This window comes from Homo sapiens, chromosome 17 (genome assembly GCF_000001405.40).
Source record: "Homo sapiens chromosome 17, GRCh38.p14 Primary Assembly".
Lineage (NCBI taxonomy): Eukaryota > Metazoa > Chordata > Mammalia > Primates > Hominidae > Homo > Homo sapiens.
In genome coordinates, this window is record NC_000017.11 from 81123878 (window position 1) to 81145966 (window position 22089).

The 22089-nt window shown below is 62.4% G+C and overlaps 1 protein-coding gene, 1 long non-coding RNA gene and 4 other non-coding genes across 9 annotated transcripts in view, besides 2 other annotated features; 2 read left to right on the forward strand and 4 right to left on the reverse strand.

Moving 5' to 3' along the window:
- Positions 1–22089, reverse strand: part of AATK (apoptosis associated tyrosine kinase) — a 48927-nt gene that overhangs the window by 6583 nt on the left and 20255 nt on the right. Inside the window, exons 2-9 of one of the 2 annotated variants that reach the window (NM_001080395.3) lie at positions 10491–10624; positions 7184–7328; positions 4593–4672; positions 3915–4033; positions 3706–3793; positions 2550–2683; positions 1053–1137; positions 850–971 (exon numbers count right to left, since the gene is read on the reverse strand). In NM_001080395.3, coding sequence (NP_001073864.2) covers positions 850–971; positions 1053–1137; positions 2550–2683; positions 3706–3793; positions 3915–4033; positions 4593–4672; positions 7184–7328; positions 10491–10624 — 907 coding nt within the window. Of the gene's footprint in view, positions 1–849; positions 972–1052; positions 1138–2549; positions 2684–3705; positions 3794–3914; positions 4034–4592; positions 4673–7183; positions 7329–8024; positions 8078–10490; positions 10625–22089 lie in introns of those variants that run through there. The other variant, NM_004920.3, reaches the window with a different exon arrangement.
- On the reverse strand, positions 1399–1496 carry MIR657 (microRNA 657). The gene has a single exon (NR_030394.1). It is a non-coding gene; the product is annotated as a microRNA 657 (primary transcript).
- MIR3065 (microRNA 3065) lies at positions 2000–2078 on the forward strand. Its single transcript, NR_036151.1, has one exon. It is a non-coding gene; the product is annotated as a microRNA 3065 (primary transcript).
- On the reverse strand, positions 2006–2072 carry MIR338 (microRNA 338). Its single transcript, NR_029897.1, has one exon. It is a non-coding gene; the product is annotated as a microRNA 338 (primary transcript).
- On the forward strand, positions 5281–13240 carry LOC124904079 (uncharacterized). 3 transcript variants are annotated; one of them, XR_007065937.1, is made up of 4 exons: positions 5281–5744; positions 10519–11730; positions 11880–12044; positions 12169–13240. It is a non-coding gene; the product is annotated as an uncharacterized LOC124904079 (long non-coding RNA). The 3 variants fall into 3 exon arrangements; XR_007065938.1 differs by lacking the exon at positions 5281–5744 and adding an exon at positions 8168–8417 and having other exon boundaries at positions 11880–13240; XR_007065936.1 differs by lacking the exon at positions 5281–5744 and having other exon boundaries at positions 11126–11730; positions 11880–12726; positions 12972–13166.
- On the reverse strand, positions 9319–9431 carry MIR1250 (microRNA 1250). Its single transcript, NR_031652.1, has one exon. It is a non-coding gene; the product is annotated as a microRNA 1250 (primary transcript).
- Positions 18914–18963: a silencer, noted in NCBI's record as "silent region_9117". NCBI's record gives its function as "represses an Ori minimal core promoter by ATAC-STARR-seq in GM12878 lymphoblastoid cells {active_cell/tissue: GM12878}" and the evidence as "EXISTENCE:reporter gene assay evidence [ECO:0000049][PMID:35858748]".
- Positions 19230–19730: an enhancer, noted in NCBI's record as "H3K4me1 hESC enhancer chr17:79116907-79117407 (GRCh37/hg19 assembly coordinates)". NCBI's record gives its function as "activates a minimal SCP1, AML or CMV promoter by ChIP-STARR-seq in naive H9 embryonic stem cells {active_cell/tissue: H9 hESC(naive)}" and the evidence as "EXISTENCE:reporter gene assay evidence [ECO:0000049][PMID:30033119]".

A 22089-nucleotide genomic window follows, 5' to 3' on the forward strand; every position in this document is an offset into this window, starting at 1 on the left:
ACTTTGGTCCCTGGCTGTCCCAAGAGGCTGCAGAGTGAGACAGAGGTGATTTGGCAAGACGTCACCATGACCTTGGCCAGAGCCCTGTGACTGGAGACCCCAGCCAGCGTGCAGTGGGTGGGCAGGCCAGGAAGGGGCACCTTGGTGGAGAGGTGAGGAGGGGACAGTGTCCATGATGGGGCAGTCAAGTGGCTTAGGGGAGGCCCCAAAAGCTCAGGGAGGGGGCCTGGCCCGTGGGATCTGAGAGTTCCCCAGAAGCAGAAGGCGGCCAGACCAAAGCCCGGGAGTGGTGGGGGCGGTTGGGGAAGCAGCAGAGGTGAGGCAGGGAGGGGCGCCCACCCCGGGGCGGACCACTCCCCTGGCGGCTCGGCCCTGCCCCTTCCGAGTCTACACCAGGTGTGAATGAACGCTCCGGGCTAGGCACTCAGGATAGGGGCTTCCAGGCTGCGGCCGTGGGAGATCCCAGCACCACCGTCAGCCCCTCTGCCTGGCACGGCCCGACCTACGCTCCCGTGAAGGCAGCCAACACCCCACCCAGACCCTCTCCCCAGGGACAGGTACTCACCAAGGCCCCCGTCTCAGGACAGACCCCCCGGCATGCTGAAGACGGGCCGTTGGCCCTGTACGTATGCCTTGACCCCACCATGGGGTCCCTGGGGCACCCTGTCAGGGTGGTATCTCCCCCGGTGTGGGGTCGCCACCCAACCAGCCACTTGGGCTGCTGGCGTGTGGCCACTACAGGTGGCTCCGGCAGCCCCCTGACCTCACTACTCATGGCCATGATTTGACATGGGTGGGCAGGTGGCACTCGGCCTCGGCCCCTCACGGTGCCACCAGGGCCGCACTCACCACACATTCCCGCTCTTGGTCTGGTCCACGACGAGCAGGTTGCTATGCACCTCGTCCACCAGCTCTGGCGCGATCCAGCGCAGAGGCACCCACAGCTGGTCGGCAGTCACGAAGTAGTCCTCCTGTTGGCACAGGGACGGGTCACCCCTGCCGGCGCAGGCCCTGCCCCTCATGCCCAGCCCAGCCCACCCCACCCCACTCACTCTGTACTTGCAGTGAGCCAGGCCATAGTCACCAATCTTCACCGTCAGGTCAGCCGTGAGCAGGCAGTTCCGCAGGGCCAGGTCGCTGCAGGCAGGGGCAGGGGCAGGGGCAGGGTGAGCAGGGTGAGCAGGGTGTGCCGGGTGGGGGCAGGGGGAGGGTCAGTGGGGTGTGCCGGGCGGGGGCATCCAGCACAGGGTCCTTTGCCAACACTTGGATGGCTCACAGTCCAGGCTGGAAGGGGCGTTGGAGACACTGCCACCCCCCATCCCTGCCCAGGGCCCTACTCTGTGCCCAACCCTGAGACCTGGGGAGGGACTGTGTGCGTGGGCCTCAAATGTTACAGTGCAGAGGAGAATGGGGCCTAGAGAGGGTGAGAACCTGCCGGAACCCACCCGGACCGGTCCACGCTTCTCCAGGACCCTCTCCTCCTAGCTCTACTACACTATCACTCTCGGCTCCCCAGGAGGTGGGAATTGATGGGGAAACTGAGGCCTGGAGTGTCCCAGGGGTCCTGCCGGCTGCCGGAGTCCAGTTTTAGGGTCCAGCCCTGCCATGCCCACTCAGAGCTGGAGCTCACTCTCACTTGAGCCACCACTGGCCCCAGGGTTGGGTAGGGTCTGGAAAGAATGCAGGTTACGCCTGGCACTACCTCCAACCCAGCCTGCCTTGGCTGCTGGCTTTGAACCCTGCCTGGCTGGTCACGTGGGTGTGAGGAGGCACAGGGTACTGGGTAGATATTACCACAGCTGCCGTATTACTTCTGTGCTCAGGACTCAGGGTGGGGACAGAGGCCAACCCAGCCTGTCCCTCCCCACATAAAACCCATGTCTGCGTGCCAGGGGATCGCTACAGGGCCATGTGTCCTGGGCCTAGGGGGTGGAGTGGGGTGGGTTGGGGTTGGGGGCAGGGCAGCTGGGGCCCGGCAGGCAGGTCGGGAGGCTGGCAGCTGCCCTCTTCAACAAAATCACTGATGCTGGAGTCGCCTGAGTCATCACTCAGCACCAGGATATTGTTGGAGAGGACAGCCGTGCGGCGTCTGGGGCTGACGGGGCCACGTGTCCTTCGCCACTTCTTCCAGCATGTCCCCCCGGGGTCCCCAGGGGCTGGGCATCCTGGCCCAAGCAGGACAGAACCCTCCCTCCAGGGTCCTTCGAAGCAGGGTCTGTCTCCCTCAAGCCCCAAAGCGAGGGCTTAGCAGAGTGTGGGGTTGGCGCGGGGCTGCAGGGTGCTGGCTGACTGCCTCGGGGACAGAGAACAGGCCAGCTTGACAGTACGCATCTCTTCGTCTAAACCTGCAAAGTGGGTGTCAAACCATTGTCTTCCCAATTTTTCAAAAACGTCATAAAATCCCTCTGCATAGTGGTTGTCTGATGCTGCATGAGATGAACCTGGCCGGTCCTCGCAAGCCCCCTGAGGCAGGACCCGCCCTATGCCCTTCCTTCAGGGGAGGGGCCTGGCCTAGGGCTTCCCGGCCGCTGGCCCGCGCCCGCCCTCACCTGTGCACGAAATTGTTGCGATGAAGGTGCAGGACGCCACAGGCCACCTCACAGGCCATGCGCTGCAGGGTCCGGGGGTCGGGAGCCATGGACTCCGCCACCCGGCAGCTCCGCAGGTAGCCCTTGAGGTCCCCCTGCAGAAAGGGGGTGTGGCGCAGTCACCAGCAGGCTGGGGGCTGGCCACCCTGGGAGGTCCCCACCTACCTCCCCAACTCCTCCACCCCTACCCACAGCTGAGGGACAGCAGCTGCCCAGAGCAGCCTCGTGCCCTGCACAGTGGCCAGCACCCAGCAGTTCCTGGAGGGGGGCCGTGTCCCCCAGGGCTGGGCTGGACTGAAGGCTTCCTCTCCACTGCCCCTCAGCCAGCCCCGGGCAGCAGGAGTCCCTTGGCCTGTGGTAGAGAGAGAAACACAGGGCCCAAGTGGATCTGCTTGATGGAGTCTGGGGCTGGTGGTCGAGGGTTGGCCGGCAGCCCCTGACCTGCCGAAAGCCCAGCCCCGGGACGGTCAACGTCAGGAGTCCAGACGCCAGTGTGTGAGGGCCCCTGTCCCGAGGGAAGCCAGCAGGGGATCCAGCCCAGCCACAGACAGCCTCGGCTCAGTGCAGGAGCTGCATATGTGGAAGGGGGTGGGGGGCAGGTCTCGGGGGAGGGGGAGACGGGTCCCCGGGGCAGGGGGGCGTTGATGGGCAGGTCTCAGGGGGAGGGGGGGACAGGTCCCCGGGGCGGGGGGCGTTGATGGGCAGGCCCAGAACTCCAGGCAGCCTGGGGAAGTGGCCAGGCCCAGCCCCCCATGGCAAAAGCAAGCCTGAGTGAGGCCGTGGAGCCCAAGTGGGCCAGTGCCCCCCCCCAGTTGGCCCAGGATGCCTCCTCCTGAACCACAGGGCACACAAGCAGGTGACCAAGCAGCTGGCAGCTCCCCAGGGGTGCAGGGAGCCCCAGCCCAGGCCTGTTCTGTGCCCAGCCCCCACAGTCCCTCCCTGGTGAGGCTAGGTCTCCCCATCGCCTCCTCTGGAAGGTGGTGGGGGCAGGGTCCCTGGGTCTTGGCTTTAGGGAGGATGTGAGGCCCCCAAGGAGGGGGTGGCACCAGACACTGGCAGGGCAAGGGAGGGCCCCGGCTCAGCAAAGACCCCAGCATCCCCCCGGGCAGCAGCTCACCAGTGGGCAGAACTCCATCACCAGCAGGTAGGGCGTCACCTCGGCGCACTGGGCCAGGCACTGGAGCAGGTTGCTGTGCTTCAGGGCCCTGCGGGAGTGGACAGGCGGCCCCTGACTTGGGAGGAGGTGGGGAGGGGGAGTCGGGCCGAGCAGGGGAGGGAGAGGAGGGGGCCGCACAGCACAGGCCTTTGTGCCCGGTGGCCTCCCACCTGTAGGGCTGCACCTCCTCCAGGAACTGCATCTGCTCCTGCACGCTGGCACTAGCCTGCAGCTCCTTCACCACCACCTGGGCACTGCTGATGCCAGAGTTCACCTCCCCCAGGAACACCTGTGGGACAGACAGCATCACCCACGGCTGCTCCGCCTCCACCGGCCCCGGCTTCCAGGCCTTACTCTTCTCCCACCCGCCCCACGCCGGCCCCCAGGACAGGACACTTCTCCTCCTGTGCCCCGTCCACTCATTGCAGCGTGAGGTATGGCTTCCGGATCCCTCCCGGCAACCCTCTGGCTGTAATATTCTGAGTCTTTCGTGTTACTCTCCCCACAAGGTCCCCCGCTGCCCTCTCTCTCTCTCTCTCTGGGGGTTTGAAGTGAGGAAGAGGGACCCAGGTGTCTCGTTTAGGCCAAGGTCAGGGGAAGGCCATGAGCAAGAGGCTGCTCCTCTCCCTCCCAGGGCCCCTCCCCAGGTACCTCTGACCCCAGGACCCCCTAGGGAGAAGGGGATGCAGCCAGATGCTGAGGACCTCCCTGGGGAAGGGTCCAGCAGGGCCCAGAGACTGAAGAAGGGACCGTCGGGGCTGGGGTGGCTCCTAGGAGGAGCAGGTCTGCAGCCCTGTGTCCCTTCTGCCTCCCAGGCGGGAGTCCTCCCTCCCAGGCGGGACACGTACCTTCCCGAACCAGCCACGGCCGATTTCCTTCAGGTACAGGAGGCTGTGCCGGCCCACGTCTGTGGACTTGAGGAGCTGCACTGTAACCAAGCAGGGGGTTCAGGGACCCAGTGTGGCCTCCGCACCCCCCAGCTTCCTCACCCGGCCCCTGGAGGGGCTGCCCGCTTGGCCTTTTCTGGGAAACTGTCCTGAGTCCCTAGCACCAGCTGGCAACCTTGGGGCCACCATCAGGAGCCAGGGTCTCTTGAGAGCAGGGGCCGCTGCTTCCCAGAAAAGCCACGGAGCTGCAGGATCCATCCGGGCATCTTTCTGGGTAGGTCTGGAGAAGGTGCCTGAAGCCACTGGGATAGCCCGGCCAGGGACAGCAGGGCCCGGAGCTCGACCCGTCACATGGGCTGCACCAGGCAGGCAGTGTGGCTGAGCAAGAGGCTGGGGCCACGGCACAGAGAGGGCACTGGAGCGGCCCACCCCCACCCTGCCGCAGGCTGGCATCCCACGCCGGGCGCACCAAAGGCTCCTTTGTTGGGGGCTGCTTGGCACGGCCCCGCACGGAGCACACTGGCCCATTCTCCCCGAGGGCCAGGCCGGGTGAGGTCAGCGGGAGGAAGGGTCAGTGAGGCCCGGGACGAAGGGGCCAGCGCTGGCAGAGCCCACTCATGCCTGCCCACGCCCCGAGGGATTCCCCGAATTCTGCTCCCACGTCAACTGCCCAGAGGGCTGACAGGCCTGGGTCTGAGCCTGGCTGCCAGGAGAGCCCAGGGGGAGGGGGCTCCTTCCAGGGCCTGGAGACCCAGAGAATGTAGAGGCGGGGCAGGGCAGAATTGAGCGTGTGGGCCCACCGGGTGCTGTGTCCTGAGCCCAGCCTGTCTGGGCGGCCCTCTCTCACCCTGGGGCGCCCAGGCCCACACTGTCCCTGAGCAAGTGTGGGGGTCCTGACCATGGGTGCTGAGACAGTTCAGAGGCCCTGGGCACTGCCGGAGGCAGCAGGCAGCCGTCCTTCTCTGCGGTCCCCAGCGGGTGGGGCCATTGCCCAGGTTTCTCCCCGCTGACCTCTGGGGCTACTTTTCTGACCTCACCCCAATCTCTCTCCTCCCTAGAAGCACATTCCTCCCCCAGAAAACTGAAACCAGAGCTGCAAAAGTAGAGAGACAGGTAACCAGTGCCTTCTTTCGGGCTCCTGTTCGCCAACCCCAGTCCCCACAGCAATCCTCCAGAGGTGGCTCTGAGAATCTTCGGGGGCCAGGCACACACCTGCCCCTGGACCCAAGGGCAGTACCCCCTCGGATGGTCCCTGGCAGCTCCCAGCAGGGTCAGCACAGGGCTCAGGGACCCCCACAGCCATCCGGGAAGGTCCGAGGGCCTCACGCTCTGAGTGGGTGGCTGCAGTCCTCCGCGCCCGCCCACAGATGTACTCGAGCTCAAGTGCCAGCCCTGATTCCTGCCGAACTGGGAACCTGTCCTCCAGGAGATGGGGCAGAGTAGGACAGGCGTTGAGGCCTTGGCTCCAAAGCTGGGGGCTGGGGGCCCTCTCTAGGTCCCAGACCAGTGCCTTGGGCCTCTCAGCCCACGATGAAGGCTAGGCTCTCAGGGCCCAGCCAGGCACAGTTCATAGCCAGCTCTCAGGGTCCAGCCAGGCACGGCTCAGAGCAGGTGAGGTGGCCTGCATGGCACCGCAGTAACAGGCCCTGGTGCCAACAGAGCCCCAACAGGGCTGGCAGGGGCCCCTCCCACTGGCCTGATACCCCTCCTGCCTCTGTGTTCCCAGAGGAGCTGGGGGTGGGCAGTGATGGGGGAAGCCTCAGGCTGGAAGCTTCCTGGGAGGGGGCTTGAGATCTGATAGCTCTGGAGGGACCCGCACCCACCACCTAGGCTCCAAGACAGAACTGGGAGGTCCTGAAGCCTGGCCATTCACCCCCAAACTCCCCAGCACGTCCGCCCCATGTGAGTGGTCGGCCTAGGACCCTAGGATGGGGGCAGATGAGGCTGTGGCTGAGGCCCTGCCTGCACCTGCACTCCTGGGTCAGCCCCACCCCTCGGCCCCTCCTCGCAGCCTGAGTGAAAGGCTAATTCACCACCCGCCCACACGGGCCCCACCAGCGCCCCTCCTCCTGCCATGCACAATGGAACCCGTGTCCCTGAAGGGCTGGCGCTCAAGGGGGCAGGAATCTGGGGTCAAGCATCCCTGGACTGCAGAAGAGCCCCTGCCCCCAGCACATGGCCATGTCCAGGACCAGAGAGCCCGCACCCCTGCCCCAGTGCCCACCCCTGCCCCGTGCCCACCCCTGTCCCTGTGCATAGCAGCCCCTTGGGCAGGGGAGGCTGGAGGCCGAGGGCTGTCCTGGACCCTGCCAACCCCTGGCCGGCCCCCAGGCCCAGGAGAAAGAGGTACATGCACCTTTGGCCCCACAGTGCGGCCTGTGACGCAGCCACAGGGAGTCCAGGGCTGCACACTGCGTCTACCCCACAGGCCACTCCCAGCCCTGTGCTGCCCCCACTCCAGAGCTGAGTCTTCCGGTCTCCCCAGATCACACCCAACGCCCAGCACCTGGGCCCCGGAGGGAGGCCACCCCATCTCCCCACCCAGCCCTCACCTGAGCGCCCAGGCTGCTTGGCCATGGGCAAGGAGACCTCCGTGAGTGGCAGGACGTACACGTCGGGCCCGTTCTGTGCTGCCGTGGCCGGGGAGCCCTGCGCCAGGTCGGCTGCGTACTCGTCCCCCTCCGCATTCTCAAACTCCTGCGGGCCGGGCCGGGCATGAGCGGGGCTTCTCGCAGGTCAAGGAAGGGTGTGGCTGGGCCTGGAAAGGCCCCTTTCTTCCAGGGCCGAGCTCCCAGGGCAGGGCAGGAGGGGGTGCTCGGCCCAGAGTTGGAGCCACCGCCCCTGCAGGCCAATGGCCCAGCACCCCTGCTAACTGCCCTTCCATCTGTCTCCTCTTGCTGACCCCCACGCCCCCGACCAGAGGCTCAGTTGTTCCATGAGGGGCCAGAGGCAGATCCCAGAGCCAAGAGGACCCATCTCAGACTCCAGAAAGGGCGCGATGAGCTGTAGGCACCAGCGCCTCAGCCTGGCCTCAGTTCCCCCATCCCTCCCTGGCGGGCAGCCCAGGCTGAGCCCCACCTTGGGGCCTGAGGGTCTAGAGGCAGGGAACCAAGGGACAGAGGTGAGGGCACTCAGGCCAGCTGGCCCTGCCCATCCAGAATCAGCCCCCAGCACCTCTCAGCCACCCACATCCCGAGCAGCCCCTCACCCCGGGCTGTGCCTGGGGTCCCACCCTCCCATGGCGCAGCTTCGGGGACAGGAATTCCATCACCCCCTGCCCCACAGTCCTGTGGGAGAAGCAATTAAGTGCCCCCACCCCTGCCGGGACAAGGAGCATTCCTGGATGTCTGGGAGCCCAGAGCCAACCGGCCACCTTTACCCTGGGCAGCCCACCTGCCACCGCCATCTGCCCCAGCAGCCTTGGACCTTCACCTGGTGGCCACACCACCTCCGGAGCTCCCAGAACTCCTTAAGAGCCTGGCCCCGTGCAGCCTAGGGCTGGGCCACTCCCTGCCAGGCTGCTATTTTGAAATGTAGAGGCTGCACCTGTATAGGGGATACCCCACCCCCAAGTCCAGGGCACATTCCTGCGCTGAGAGCCAAAGTCTCCAAAGTCCTGGGCCCAGCTGAAAGCAATTGCTCCAGGCACACAATGACAGCCCCAATCCCTGAGCACTTGGTACAGCCTTTCTGTCCTTCCTCACAACCCCCAGTGCCCTGGTGGGGAAGCTGAGGCTCAGAGGAGTCAAGGGACTTCCAGCTGGATGCTGGCCAGCACCCGGGCTGGTGAGTCCGAGGACAGGCAGGTGCAGTGGGAGGGGAGGCCTGGGCTCCTCAAGTACGACGTGTGACCCTGGGGACGCCTCCCTTCCCTGGGCTGCAAAGAGAGGGGCAGGTGGCTCTGTCGGTATTCCCGCAGGCCAGGCCCAGCCTGCCCTTTCGGAGCACACAGCCACTCAGGGATGGGGGACGCAGGTGCTGCGTGGGCAACTTCCCCTCCCCGGGACCCAGAAGACCACCCCAGAAGCCCCCTCTTGGGCCCTCCAATCCCAGCCCCGGCCTGGCCCCACCCATCTGGGCTTTGTAGAGGGGCCCAGGACACAGATGCTGTCTCTCCCTGGGGTCGGGCCCGGGCTCCAGGCATTACCTGCTGCCCGGGGGCCAGCCGGGTCCTGCCGATACAGCGTGCAATCAGGTAGCACAGGGTCAGCATTGGGGGCCTGCCCAGCCCCTTCCCTCAGCACAGCTCCCCACCAGGGAGCCCAGCGCAGGTCCCCAAATCCCAGGAGGGAGCCCAGTGTGGAGGCAGGACTTCCCAGGGGCACACTGGTGCTGGAATGTTCCGGGCACCATGTTCCCAAGGAGGTGAGGAGGGCGCAGGAGGAGGAGCTATGGCCAGCCCTTGTTTGGGGCCTTGTTCTTACAGTGCCCCAAGGAGGGGCCACTTATACAATAGCCCCACTCGTCCCACCCAGGCCCCACCTCCACTCCTGCTCCCGCCAAGACCTTGAGGCTCTGGCCTCGGGATCCCCAGGAAGGCGCCTGCGCGGCCTGGCCTGGCCCCTGGTGCCAGCGGGTCAGGGGTACATCCCAGAGCAGGGTGGGGGCTCTGGGCAGGAGTGCAGACCCCACAGCCTGGGGCCACAGCTTTGCCCCCCAGGCACGCAGCTCCTCACTGGTTGATGGGGCCTGTGGCCACTTCAGAGGGCTCTGGAAGGTTGAATGGGCTGGAAAATGTGGCCTTTAGAAAAGGCAAAAAGGCCACATCCAGCACCGTCACCTGCCAGGCCAGCGGGACAGGTGGGCAGAGCCAGCTCCTTGGCCCATTCTGCGTCATGACATACCAGGGGCAGGGAGGACTCTGGGACTGTCTCCCAAATGGGGGTGGCGCCAGCTGAGTCATGGGTCACTTAGTAGGAAGGCACCCTGAGATACAGACAGGGTGCTGTGCGCGCTGCAGAATGCCTCCTCCCACCCTCCTCCCTCCCTGACTTCTCCTGGCGTAGGAATCTGACCTCTGGCCCAGGGGTGGGGCTGACCCCCGTGGGCGTGTGAACCACCAGAGGTCCAGGCCAGGGTGTCATTTGCTCATCAGCAGGAATGGGACCCATGGAGACTCTGGGAGGGGGAGGCGATGCTGGCCGGGGTTCCTTCTGCCTGGCCCTCCCTGCTGCTCAGAGTTACAGCTGGAGGTGGGCTGGGGGTTTGCAGGGGGAGGAGCAGTGCTTGGCACCTGTCCTTGGCCAGGGGCCTTGGCCTCCAGAGGGGCAGCCTAGTGAGGCCAGGCCTCACCCTTGGCGGGGCTCCCTAACCAGCAGGCTGGGCTCTAGCATCACACATCGTCCCCTCCAGAAGGCAGAAGATACCCCGCGCAAGGTGACTCCAACTGGCAAGAAGGTCCCTGTGCCGGGAAGCTTGTCTGGGCAGCCCGGACTCCCCTTTGCAGATTGAATTCGGAGGGACGTGAGAGCCCCTTGCAGAGGCAGCTCCTCCACCAGGAGTCGGGCCTCTAGGGAGGCAAGCCCCCTCCCACACCAGCTCCAGAGCCCCCGACGCCCCCTGCAAGGCTGTCCTCAGCCTCCGTGAGTGCTCGGGCCCAACCCCAGGCTGGAGTGGGAGCGTCAGACCACGCCCCCCACAGAGGGCCTCAAAGTCGAGGAAGCTGGGGCAGGTCCCTGAGGAGGAGCTATGGAGTCCCTGGGCCAGGGTCCACGTGGTCCCCAGGTGGCCCCACAGCAACTACGGCCACCCAGCAGCCACCTTGATGGCCCCAGGAAGGAGGGAAGCTCAGGGTCAAGTGGACGCTACAGGCCTTGCCTGCGGGATCCCACGACAGCTCCCGCGGCCCCCAGGCCTCACCTTGAACCCGATACCGCCCTTCTTACAGCACAGGCAGGCCAGCATGAGGACGATGACGGCGAAGAGCCCGGAGAAAGACACAGCCACCACGGCGAGGGAGGATGGCCAGGACAGCTCGCTGAGCGGGGCGCCGTCTGCGGGAGAGCAGTGTGGTGAGAGTGGCCATGGCTGAGGGCCGGCCAGGCCCCTGCCCCTGCTCTGGGCTCCACAGCCCCACCTGGACTTGCTGCATTCCAGGCTGGGCCTCAGCACCCTGACCTCTCACCCCAGACCCCACACCTCACAGTGTGGCGAGGAGGTGGCCAGAGCCTGCAGTCCTGCAGCCAGCCACTGGACACCACCCTGGCTTCGCCAGGGGGACATAGGGTTGGCAGAGTGACCAGAGCCTGCCCAGTTCCCAATTCTGGGGTTCAGATACCCCTGAGAGGTCAGGGTCTCAGGGGCTACAGGGGGACCCCCATCTCCCTCCCAGATCCCAGTCACCCCACCTTGCCCCTCTGGGGCTGGGAAGGGAACATGGACTCTGTCAAACACGGGAGACCATGTTGCTGGCTGCTATCTGCTGGCCACACACCAGGCTCTGGACAGCGGGGGCTCAAGGCCCTTCCAGCCTCTGAGGTGCGGGGACCTCACTGTCCCTGAGAAGGTGGTGCTGCCTCTGCCAGGCAGCAGGGCTCCCGTGTGCCACCTGCTGCCTCGAATCCGTCCCCTTGCCAAACCCACTGCCAGGCCCCTCTGGTGCTGCTTCTGTCCTGGGAACCATGGGGAAACCCCGTTCTGCAGCTGCTGGTCCATGGAGCCCCTCATCCCAGAGGGGAACTGACAGTACAGCATCCCTCCCAACTTCGGAGTATTGAGCTGAGCCCGGCTTCCAAATCAGGACACCTGAGCTGAGCCAGGCTTTGAGGAAGCTCGGTCCATCTGCTGCCCACAGGATGGCATGGTGGGGGCCAGCCTTGGTGTCCCCTGGGCAGGGGAGGGCACACTGACCCGCTGGCTCTATCCCCTGGGCCTGCCCCGTCCCACCGCACCCAGCTCCAATCCATGCCCTTCCCTAGGAGCTTTCTGTCCGGCTGCCCTCCACTTGGCCCTGGAGATTTTCCGGCCACCCCCAGTGCCTTTTGCCACTGAGCACCTGCAACTTCTCAGCTCCCAACACCCCTCAACACCCCATCTCCTGGCCCAGCACACCCCCAAAGGTGTTGTCATCTCTACCCCACTGGACGAGCCAAGAAACAGGGTCAGTGTGGGCAGGGCTGCCCGAGGTGGCACAGCTGACCTCACCTGGCATGCTCTGCCAGGGCTGCAGGCTAATGGGGCATCTGGGAAGGCTGCCTGGAGGTGGCGTGAGCTAGAAGACAGTGAGGGCAGCCTAGGCTTCCTGCTCAGGTCTCCAGGTTGTTCCCCACACACGAGGAAGAGGGAACCAGGACGGCTTGGAGTGAGGACCAGACAGGGCCGTGGGGACAAGGAGGCAGGGGGCGGCCAGCAAAGCAAGACCTGGGTCACCGGGGAAGGAAACCAGCTCTGCCGCATGTGGAGACGAGCCAACGGGTAGGGCCGTGAACAGATGTCATCCCAGGCGAGGTTTCCAGGATGTGCGGGCGTGCGTGTCATGCGTGTAAGGACACCCTGCACACCGGGTAAGCCCCGCTGTGTTCTCATACCCGAACGGCAGGAACACAGGCAGGGGCTCACGAGGCACTCAACAGGCCCCGCCCTCCAAAGCAGCCAGCGCTCTTCGGAACTGCAAGTTGCCATGGTGCCCATCTCCCAGGCTCCATCTGGTGCCCGCCTGGCATCAGTCCACACCCCTCTAACACCTTCGCCCATGCCCTCCTGGCCCCTCTCCTGGCGGGCCCTTCCCTCATGGGACACACTGGATGAGTGAAGGAACCTATCTGTGGCCTTTTGGGGCCAGGATCTGGCCTCCTGTCCTCAGAGCCAGCAGAGCCCTGGGGCTGGACAGGCCACCTGCTGGGCAAAGAGCAGCCCCAGGAGGCCCGACCTCAGCCTCCCCCTCAACCTCCCCTTCGGAACCAACCTCGGCCACCCTGGGCTCCCCTCCCATGGCCCCATCCCTTCCCTGGTCCTCCCCCGAATGGAGGCAGCTGGCCTCAGCCTTCCCACCTCCAGGACCCCACCTCAGCTACCCTGGGCTCCCCCCAGCAGGACGCCATCCCATGCCTGGTCCTTCCCCGCACTGAGGCAGCTGGCCCTGGGGCACAGCCCTGCTGTGAGTTCCCCCTCCCCTCTAGAAGGCCCAGGTCCCAGTGCTGGGCGGCCATGGGGGGTCATTCAGCACCACGTGCTGACTCAGTGGAGGGCAGAGGTGGGCAGGGGCACCAGGCAGGCCTGCCCATGAGCACAAGGTTGTGTCCCTGAAGGTGGATGTGTAGGGGTGGGGGACTGTCCACACAAGCCAGCCAGAGCCAGAGGGTTGCAAGGAGAGACGGCACACCTAGGCTTTCAAATCCACAGAAGCGGTCAGTTTCTGGAGCCCCTACCAGTGCCCAGAGCAGCAGAAACCACAGCGGTTCCCATCTGAGGGTCAGAGCGGCTGTCCGAAGCTCCAGAGACCCTCCCTCATCAGAATCACTACCACCCTTGCCGGGCGCGGTGGCTCATGCCTGTAATCTCAGCACTTTGGGAGGCCAAGGCAGGTGGATCACTTGAGGTCAGGAGTTCGAGACCAGCCTGGCCAACACAGCGAAACCCCATCTCTACTAAAAATAAAAAAATTAGCTGGGTGTGGTGGCACAAGCCTGTAATCCAAGCCACACAGGAGGCTGACACAGGAGAATTGCTCGAACCCAGGAGGCGGAGGCTGCAGTGAGCCGAGATTGCACCATTGCACTCCAGCCTGGGTGACAGAGTAAGACTCCGCCTTAAAAAAAAAAAAAAAAGGAATTACTACCACCCCACTTTGCAGATGAGGACACTGGGTCCCGTGGAAGCGAGGTGGTTTGTCCAGGACACCAGTGCGCCCAGCCCTGTCCTCGTGGCCACGAGAGGACCCTGGGCAGAGGAGGGGGGGTTCCCACAGTCTCTCGGCCGCAGGCTGATGCCTCCCTCAGGCCCACCTGCTCTCGGCCACCCTGGCACCCACAGCCGAGTGCACCCACCGCCGCCTCTGCATTCCTGGAGCCTTCTCTGTGCCCTCATCAGAGGCACCTGCTACCTGGGCCCCGCTGGCTGTCAGCTTGTAAGACAGACCAGGCTCTGACCCCAGATGCCAAGGGCCAGGACTAGTGCCCTGGGAACCATGACACTTGTTGTAACAATCCAGCACACAAATGCCCACGTATGTGCATGCATGAAAACACATGAAACACACATGCACACACACCTCATGACAACGCGAAACATACATGCACACGTAGCATGCATACAACCATACGTGTGACCATGTGCACACACTATACACAGGCCAAGACATGAACGTTCATGCACAGACATGCACACACACATATGCATGTGTATATATCACACGTGTGCACACCCATACCCGCACAGGCATATACCCACGTGCACATACACACGGGCACACGTGCACACAGCCACACGCACACATCCACACGCACGCACACATCCACACACACGCAGACACCCACACGCGTGCACACACCCCCACACACGTACACGCACCCACATGCACGCAAACCCACACCCACGTGCACACAGACCCACACCCGTGCACCCGGACCCACACCTGTGTGCACACACGCGGACACATACGTGTGCACACAGACATACCCCACACACACATGCACACATACGCGCACGCCCACATGCACACACACACTTACCCACACATGCGTGCACACACACACACACCCCCACATGCACACATATCCACCCACACGCACATACCCACACACATGCACAGAGACATACCCACATGCACGTGCACACCCACCCACACATGTGCACACATATCCACACACGTGCACACATACCCACACATGCACACCCACACATACCCACGCACACACACTCCCATGGACACACGGGCACACGTGCACACACACCCCCACACGTGCGTGCACATACCCATACACATGCAAACACACCCACAGATGCATGTGCACACACACCCACCCACATGCACACATGCATGCACACACACCCTCGTGCAGACACAATGCACCCACACACGTGCACATACACGTTCGCGTGCACACACGTGCACACATACCCCCACACGCACATACCCACACACGTGCACACCCACACGCACAACACACACACATACCCACACACATATCCACACATCCACACATACCCACACACATATCCATACATGCACACCCACCCACACACACCCAAGCACGCAGATACCCACACGCGCAAACCCACACATGCGCGCACACAGATACCAACACGCGCATGCACACCCACATGCACGCACACACCCATGTGCACACAATACCCACTTGCGCGTGCACACCCACGTGAGCGCACACACACCCCCACGCGTGCAGATAACACGCACACATGTGCACACATACCCATACACGCACACACATATAACCACACATGCGTAGACAGATACCACACGTGTAGGCACACACACATGCACACCCCCCACACGTGCGCGCGCACCCACACCCACACGTGCGTACACACGCATGCACGCACCCCACACACCCACACGTGTGCACACCCACAGGCACACACACCCGCACATGCAAACATGCACACACATGAATGCACACATGTGCACACACATCCCCTGGCTCAGTCCCCACTACTGGCCTGCTCAGTAGGTATCATCATCCTCACTTTACAAGTACGAAAACTGAGGCTCAGTGATGTCACAAGCACACCCAAAGGGTGGCCTGGCTCTGCCAGCTCCACTGCCCTGCTCCAGATGCCATGCCTGCCCCTCCACAAGCCACGTGGGAGGCCCCACTTATCTCCTTGGGACCAGCCCCCACTAGCAGGTGGGGAGGCCTCTGTAGGGTCTGCTTGCCTGTCCCTCTCATTAATGCCGCACTCTTCCCAAATACGAGAAGGGGTACCTGGGACCTCAGCCCAGAAACCCGTGCCCAGGAAGACACAAGTTGCACACGGCTTTGTTTCTGAAACTTCTTGAAAGCCCATTTAAACCAGCATCCCACTGTTCAACCCTCTGCTACCACACAAGCTGCATGGTGTCCCCCAGGCTCTTCCAAGCCCGGCCCTCTGCTGCCACACATGCTGCGCGGCCCCCAGGCTCTTCCAAGCCTGGCCTGGCCATACCGCGGTCCCTGGTCCTCCCGCAGGCCTTATGAGAGCCCAAGTAGCTGCACTGAAAGGTCACTTCAAAGCACACCCTCCAACCCTGGTGACCCCTGCTGATGCCCCAGCCCTCCACTGCGCTGCTGAGGCTGTGCCCCTGGCCATGGTGAGAATGGGGGCAGTTCTGCCTCCTCTGCAACTGGGCTGGAGGGTGCCTATGTGAGCCTGCAGTGGATACACCGTGACACCAGCATGCACACACGTGTCCAGGCTGTGGCTTCTTAGGCCACTGTCCACACAAGGAACCAGGGCCTCACCCATGGTGGGTAAAATGCACCAGGACTGTCACAGCCCATGAGTCCTCTGTCCACCAGCCTTGTCCACTGGCCCTGAATCAGCCACCCTCAGGACCCCCAAAGGATGACTCTATTTCTTTTTGTTTTAGAGATGGGGTCTGTGTTGTCCAGATGGGAATGCAGTGGGGTGATCACAGCTCACTGCAGCCTGGAACTCCTGGCCTCAAGCAGTCCTCCCCGCCCAGCCTCCCGGGTAGCTGGGATGATGGGTGTGACAGGCACGTGCCACCGGGCCTGGCTGGTGACTGTTTCTACTGTTCCTGCTGCGTCTCCTGGTGTGCACTCTGCCGTGAGGGAAGGCAGGGCCTTCACCCCCACTTGCTTTTTTCGTATCAGTGCTCAAGACACTATCATTCCCATTTATTTACGTCACACTTAGGCACTCCTTTTCATTCCAATGAGCTGTAATGTGTTACTGTAATTGTTTAGTTTGATTCTCAAATTGCCCCAGATTTGGTAAGGGGGCACCTGGTGTATGCAGAACAACGGCTCCCAGAGCTGTCCACCTCCCGATCCTCGAAACTTGAGACTCTGGGTGCCTTGCATGGCAAAAGGAGCTTTGCAGGCGGGATTTAGGTAAGGACGTGAGGCGGGGCCATTAGCCCGGATTGCCAGGCAAGCCAGGGTCATCCCGAGGGTCTTTGGATGAGGGAGGCAGGAACTGGAGATGAGAGAAGTGACTGCAGAATCAGAGACCGTGGGGCCGGGGGACCGTGGGGCCGTGGGGACCATGGGGCCGTGGGGCCGTTGAGCTGTGGGGCGGTGAGACCGTGGGGCTGTGAGCCGTGGGGCCGGGAGACCGTGGGGCCGTGAGCCGTGGGGCTGTGGGGCGGTGAGACCGTGGGGCCGTGAGACCGTGGGGCTGTGAGCCGTGGGGCCGGGAGACCGTGGGGCCGTGAGCCGTGGGGCTGTGGGGCCGTGAGCCGTGGGGCCGTGGGGACCGTGAGCTGTGAGCCGTGGGGCCGTGGGGCCGTGGGACCGTGGGACCATGGGGCCGTGAGCCGTGGGGACCGTGAGCCGTGGGGCCGTGGGGACTGTGAACTGTGGGGCCGTAAGCCGTGGGGCCCATGAGCCGTGGGGACCGTGGGGACCATGGGGACCGTGAGCCGTGGGGCCGTGGGGGCTAGGAGCCGTGGATGCAAGGGGCTGGAAAGGCCAGGGGTGGACTCTCCCCAGAGCCCAGCCTCCACCACATTGACTATAGCCCATGAAAGTGACTTTCGGCCGGGCGCGGTGGCTCACACCTGTAATCCCACCACTTGGGAGGCCAAGATGGATGGACCACCTGAGGTTAGGAGTTCAAGACCAGCCTGGCCAACGTGGTGAAATCCCGTCTCTACTAAAAATACAAAAAACTAGCCGGGCATGGTGGCGTGTGCCTGTAATCCCAGCTACCTGGGAGGCTGAGGCAGGAGAATTGCTGGAACCCAGGAGACGGAGGTTGCGGTGAGCTGAGATTGAGCCACTGCACTCCAGTCTGGGCGACAGAGACTCTGTCCCCCCCAAAAGAAAAGAAAGTAAGTGACTTTCAATTTCTGACTTCCAGAACCTACGATAATAGACTCCATGAAATCTGTAATCAGTGGCCACAGGAAACTCATGCAACAGCCCTTCCAAGGGGCTCCCCAGCAAAGCCTCTGTGGTGTCTGCCCCCAACCCCTGTGCCTCCTGGGACACAAGACAGGCCCAGCAAGGGTGGGGGTGCCATGGAAAGCTTGGTGGCTGGGCAGGTCCCCAGAGGGCCGCCATCAGTCCTCAAAGACATGCTCAGATGCAGTGGCTCAGGCCTGGCACCAGCTGGTCCCAAGGTGGGGTGGTGAGGGTACATCTGCTGTGCACACGTGGCTGGACGCGCTGGGGGCAGGTCCAGGTCAGCTTCAAGGACTCTGCCCAGGCTAACCCTAGAGGCCTCTAGTGCCAGCAGTTACTTACTTTTTTTCTTTCTTTCTTTTTTCTCTCTCTTTCTCCCTCTCCTTCCTTCCTTCCTTCCTTCCTTCCTTCCTTCCTTTCCTTCCTTCCTTCCTTCCTTGATAGAGTCTCACTCTGTCACCCAGGCTAGAGTGCAGTGGCATGATCTCAGCTCACTGCAACCTCCACCTCCCCAGTTCAAGTGATTCTCCCACCTCAGCCCCCCAAGTAGCTGGGATTACAGGCACCTGCCACCATCACCCTCGGCTAATTTTTGTATTTTTAGTAGAAATGGGGTTTCACTATGTTAGCCAGGCTGGTCTCAAACTCCTGACTTCAGGTGATCCACCCACCTTGGCCTCCCAAAATGCTGGGATTACAGGCATGAGCTACCAGGCCCGCTCTTTTTTTTCTTTTTTCTTTTCTTTTTTTTTTTGAGACAGAATCTTGCTCTGTCACCCAGGCTGGAGCGCAGTGGTGCAATCACGGCTCATGGCAGCCTCAAACTCCTGGGCTCAAATAATCCTCCCACCTTAGCCTCCCAAGTAGCTGAGACCACAGCCTTGCACCACCACACCCGCTAATTTTTACATTTTTTTGTAGAGACAGGTCTCACTATGTTGTCCAGGCTGGTCTCAAACTCCTGGGTTCAATCAATCCTCCCGCCTTGGCCTCCAGTTTCAAAGTTAATGTCTATTTGGCCATTGTCCAGCTCTGGAGCATTGGCTCTGCTGAGAGGTTGGGGTGGGAAGAGGCAGAGCCAGCCACAGGGAGCTGGCAGGGGACCAAGAGCAGGGAAGAGAAGGAGGTGCTTGGGGTGGAGACACCCCCACAACAGGCTGCCGGCTTTGAGTCAGTCCCACCCTCCTGGGAGTGGCTTCTCACCTGTGAGCCTCCCTGAGCAGTAAGGACCCAGCCCCACCCCCGCCCCAGCCAGCCAGCCTCCCTGTCCCCGTCCCCCAAAGTCCACTTGACTTGTAACCACCCTATCCACGGAGGTGTGGACGCATCATCGGCGTGACCCTCACGCCCACCAGGTGGCACTCTCAGCCATTTTACACACGCAGTGGAAAGGACAGGAGGCTCCTGGGACTCTGGGCCACACACAGAGGAACAGGGAGGCCAGCTCCAGGCACAGCGTGGCCTGAGCTCAAAACACAGGCGTGGTCCAGGATGGCGCCTACTCAGCACAGAGCTGGGGGATCCCAGCTTGGGGTGCTGCCGTCCGCAGCGTTGCCGGCACACGGCCTTCCCTCGAAGGCCACGGGAGAGTTCCGAGAGTGGCCTGGCTGAGCCTGAGAGTGGCCCCACAGCCCAAGCCCTTGGCCACACCTGGCTCGATGAGCCCCCACCCCCGCAACGTGCACACGTCCCAGGCGGAAGCCGCCTGCAGCAGCCCCAGGTCCCAGGCAGCCTGTGCGGGACCCTGGAGTCCCAGGACACGTCACCTGACCTGGCCCAGCTTCTACAGGGCTGTCCCTAGGACCGGGTGCTCACTGCAGCACAGGGTGGCCCTGGTCAAAGCCAAGAGCTAGTAAGTTTTCTGTGTTGGGTCCAAATGCACTTCCCCTCAACCCCATCCAGCTCTGCCTGGGGCCATGCAGCCCCCACCCCTTGTGTCCACGCAGCCCCTGCCTCCCGTGTCCACGCAGCCTCACTTCCCCCAGCCATGCAGCCCCCACCCCCCGTGTCCACGCAGCCCCAATTCCCCCAGCCATGCAGCCCCGCCTCCCGTGGCCACACCTGGTCCTCCAGCCTCCTCGACCCCTCTGGCTTCACAGCCTCTCTCCTCAGCACGTCGCCCCACAGTTAGCAATCCCCACCCCTGATGAGGCCAGGACTGTGTGGAGTCCAGGGGCCCCACGGTGGGTGGCCATGGGGTGTGATCCCCACGGGGTAAGGCGAGGCCTCCACTCTCTCCACCCACACTGCCTCTTCTGGAACCTTGGGCCCTGCCTGCCCGGGGCTCCAGGCTCTGCTCACCCGTCGGGTGTGCCTGGCATGCATGCCCCGTGGGTGCGGGCGTGACCCCCACATGCTAGCTCAGTCTGAGGTTCCAAGGCTCCCAGCCATTCCCCCCACAACAGCAGGTGCACCCAGGGTGAGCACGGTGCCCAGGGTTGCCCCTGCATGCTTCCTCCACCCAAGCTGCCTTCCTGCAGGGACGGGTGGCCAGGGTGGCCAGCACATAAGGTGTGGCTCTCTGCCCCCACCCCTGTCCCCGCTCGGCCCTTCAGGAAGCTTCCTGCTAAGTGGCTAAGTGCACCCCTCCAGGAACTTGGGGCTCACTCCCCTCCCCGAGGCAGCCTCTTTCACCTTTTGTGGCACCAACAGCCAGCGTCTCTTGCACAGACCCAGCCTGGCCCACACCTCCCAAAAATGCCCCCAAAATGTCCCCAAATCACACAAACAAATGGATCAGGATCAGCAAAGCTGCAGATAGGAGCCTGGGGGTAAAGGTCAAGGCCCCTTGTCCCAGCCCCACACTGCCCTCCCCATCGCTCTGTGCTGGTCGGGTGTTCACACCTGGGGCAAGGTAGCCAGGACCCTGGGGAGAGGGTGGCCACATCATCAGGGAAGAGCAGGCCTGTGGGTGGCCGAGAGGACACAGTGGCCCCTGGAGGCACCCCCAGGCGGGGCCGCTGCAGCTGGGACAATGGAGGGGCAAGGGGGCCGGGCAGGGGGCCCGCAGGAGCCCACAGGGCTCCCTTGAGAGCCGCCCACCCACTCTCAGTGCCGCACCCCCGGCCATTCACATTTCCAGCGTGGGAGGAGTTCGCCTTCACTGTTACTAAAGCTTCTGTCTTCATCAAATCCACACCGGAGAGTGTGGCAGAGTCTGAGAGCCCAGCTCGCTCCTGTGAATCACAAGCTACGAAGTCCAGCGTGCTGGTGCCCATTAAAGACACTGCCTTAGATGAAGCTCCCGGGTGAAAGAAGCTAACAGCGTGGAAAAAGAAAGCACAGACAGGAAATCTGCCCTTCCAGCGTCAAAAGCTACAATAATTAGAACCTCACAGTGCTGGGGCACAAACCCACCAAAATCTGGGCCTGGCCACGCAGAGGATTCCACACTCCATGAAAAGCCTGACTTCAGGCCGGGCGCGGTGGCTCACGCCTGTAATCCCAACACTTTGGGAGGCCGAGGTGAGTGGATCACTTGAGGTCAGGAGTTCGAGACCATCCTGGCCAACATGGTGAAACTCCGCCTCTACTAAAAACACACAAATTAGCCAGGTGTGGTGGCAGGTGCCTGTAATCCCAGCTACTCAGGAGGCTGAGGCGGGAAAATCGCTTGAACTCCCAAGGTGGAAAATGCAGTGAGTCAAGATTGTGCCACTGTACTCCTGCCTGGGCTATCGATAGAGTGAGACTCCATCAAAAAAAAAAAAAAAAGAAAAAGAAAAAGAAAAAAGAAAAAAATAGCCTGACTGCATAACTTCAGATTAAATGATTCTAAGATAGATTACAGCATCTTAAAAGAAAATAGGTAAATATTAGATTTCTGAATGGAGAAGGATTTGTAAGCTAAAAGCAATGGAAGGGATCGCAAAAGAAAATATTGAAGGCTTTGGCTCCGTAAAAATGTCTGTTCCGGCTGGGCACAGTGGCTCACGCCTGTAATCCCAGCACTTTGGGAGGCTGAGGTGGGCAGATCACCTGAGGTCAGGACTTTGAGGCCAGCCTGACCAATATGATGAAACCCCGTCTCTACTAAAAATACACAAATTAGCCAGGCGTGGTGGCATGCTTCTGTAATCCTAGCTACTCGGGAGGCTGAGACAGGAGAATTGCTTGAACCTGGGAGGCGGAGGTTGCAGTGAGCGGAAATCGTGCCATTGCACTCCAGCCTTGGCAACGAGAGCAAAACTCCATCTCAAAAAAAAAAAAAAAAAAAAAGGGTGTTCGATAAAAGCCCTCAAATTAAAGGCACACAGCGAACCGAAAAAAGCAATTTACAGAAAATATGTCGAAGAGCTGATGTCATGACTACACAGAGCACACAATCAGTAAAAAATAACAAATACGTTAAGACCCCAAACATAAACAAGACTGAGCGCGGTGGCTCACACCCACAATCCCAGCACTTTGGGAGGCCGAGGCAGGCGGAT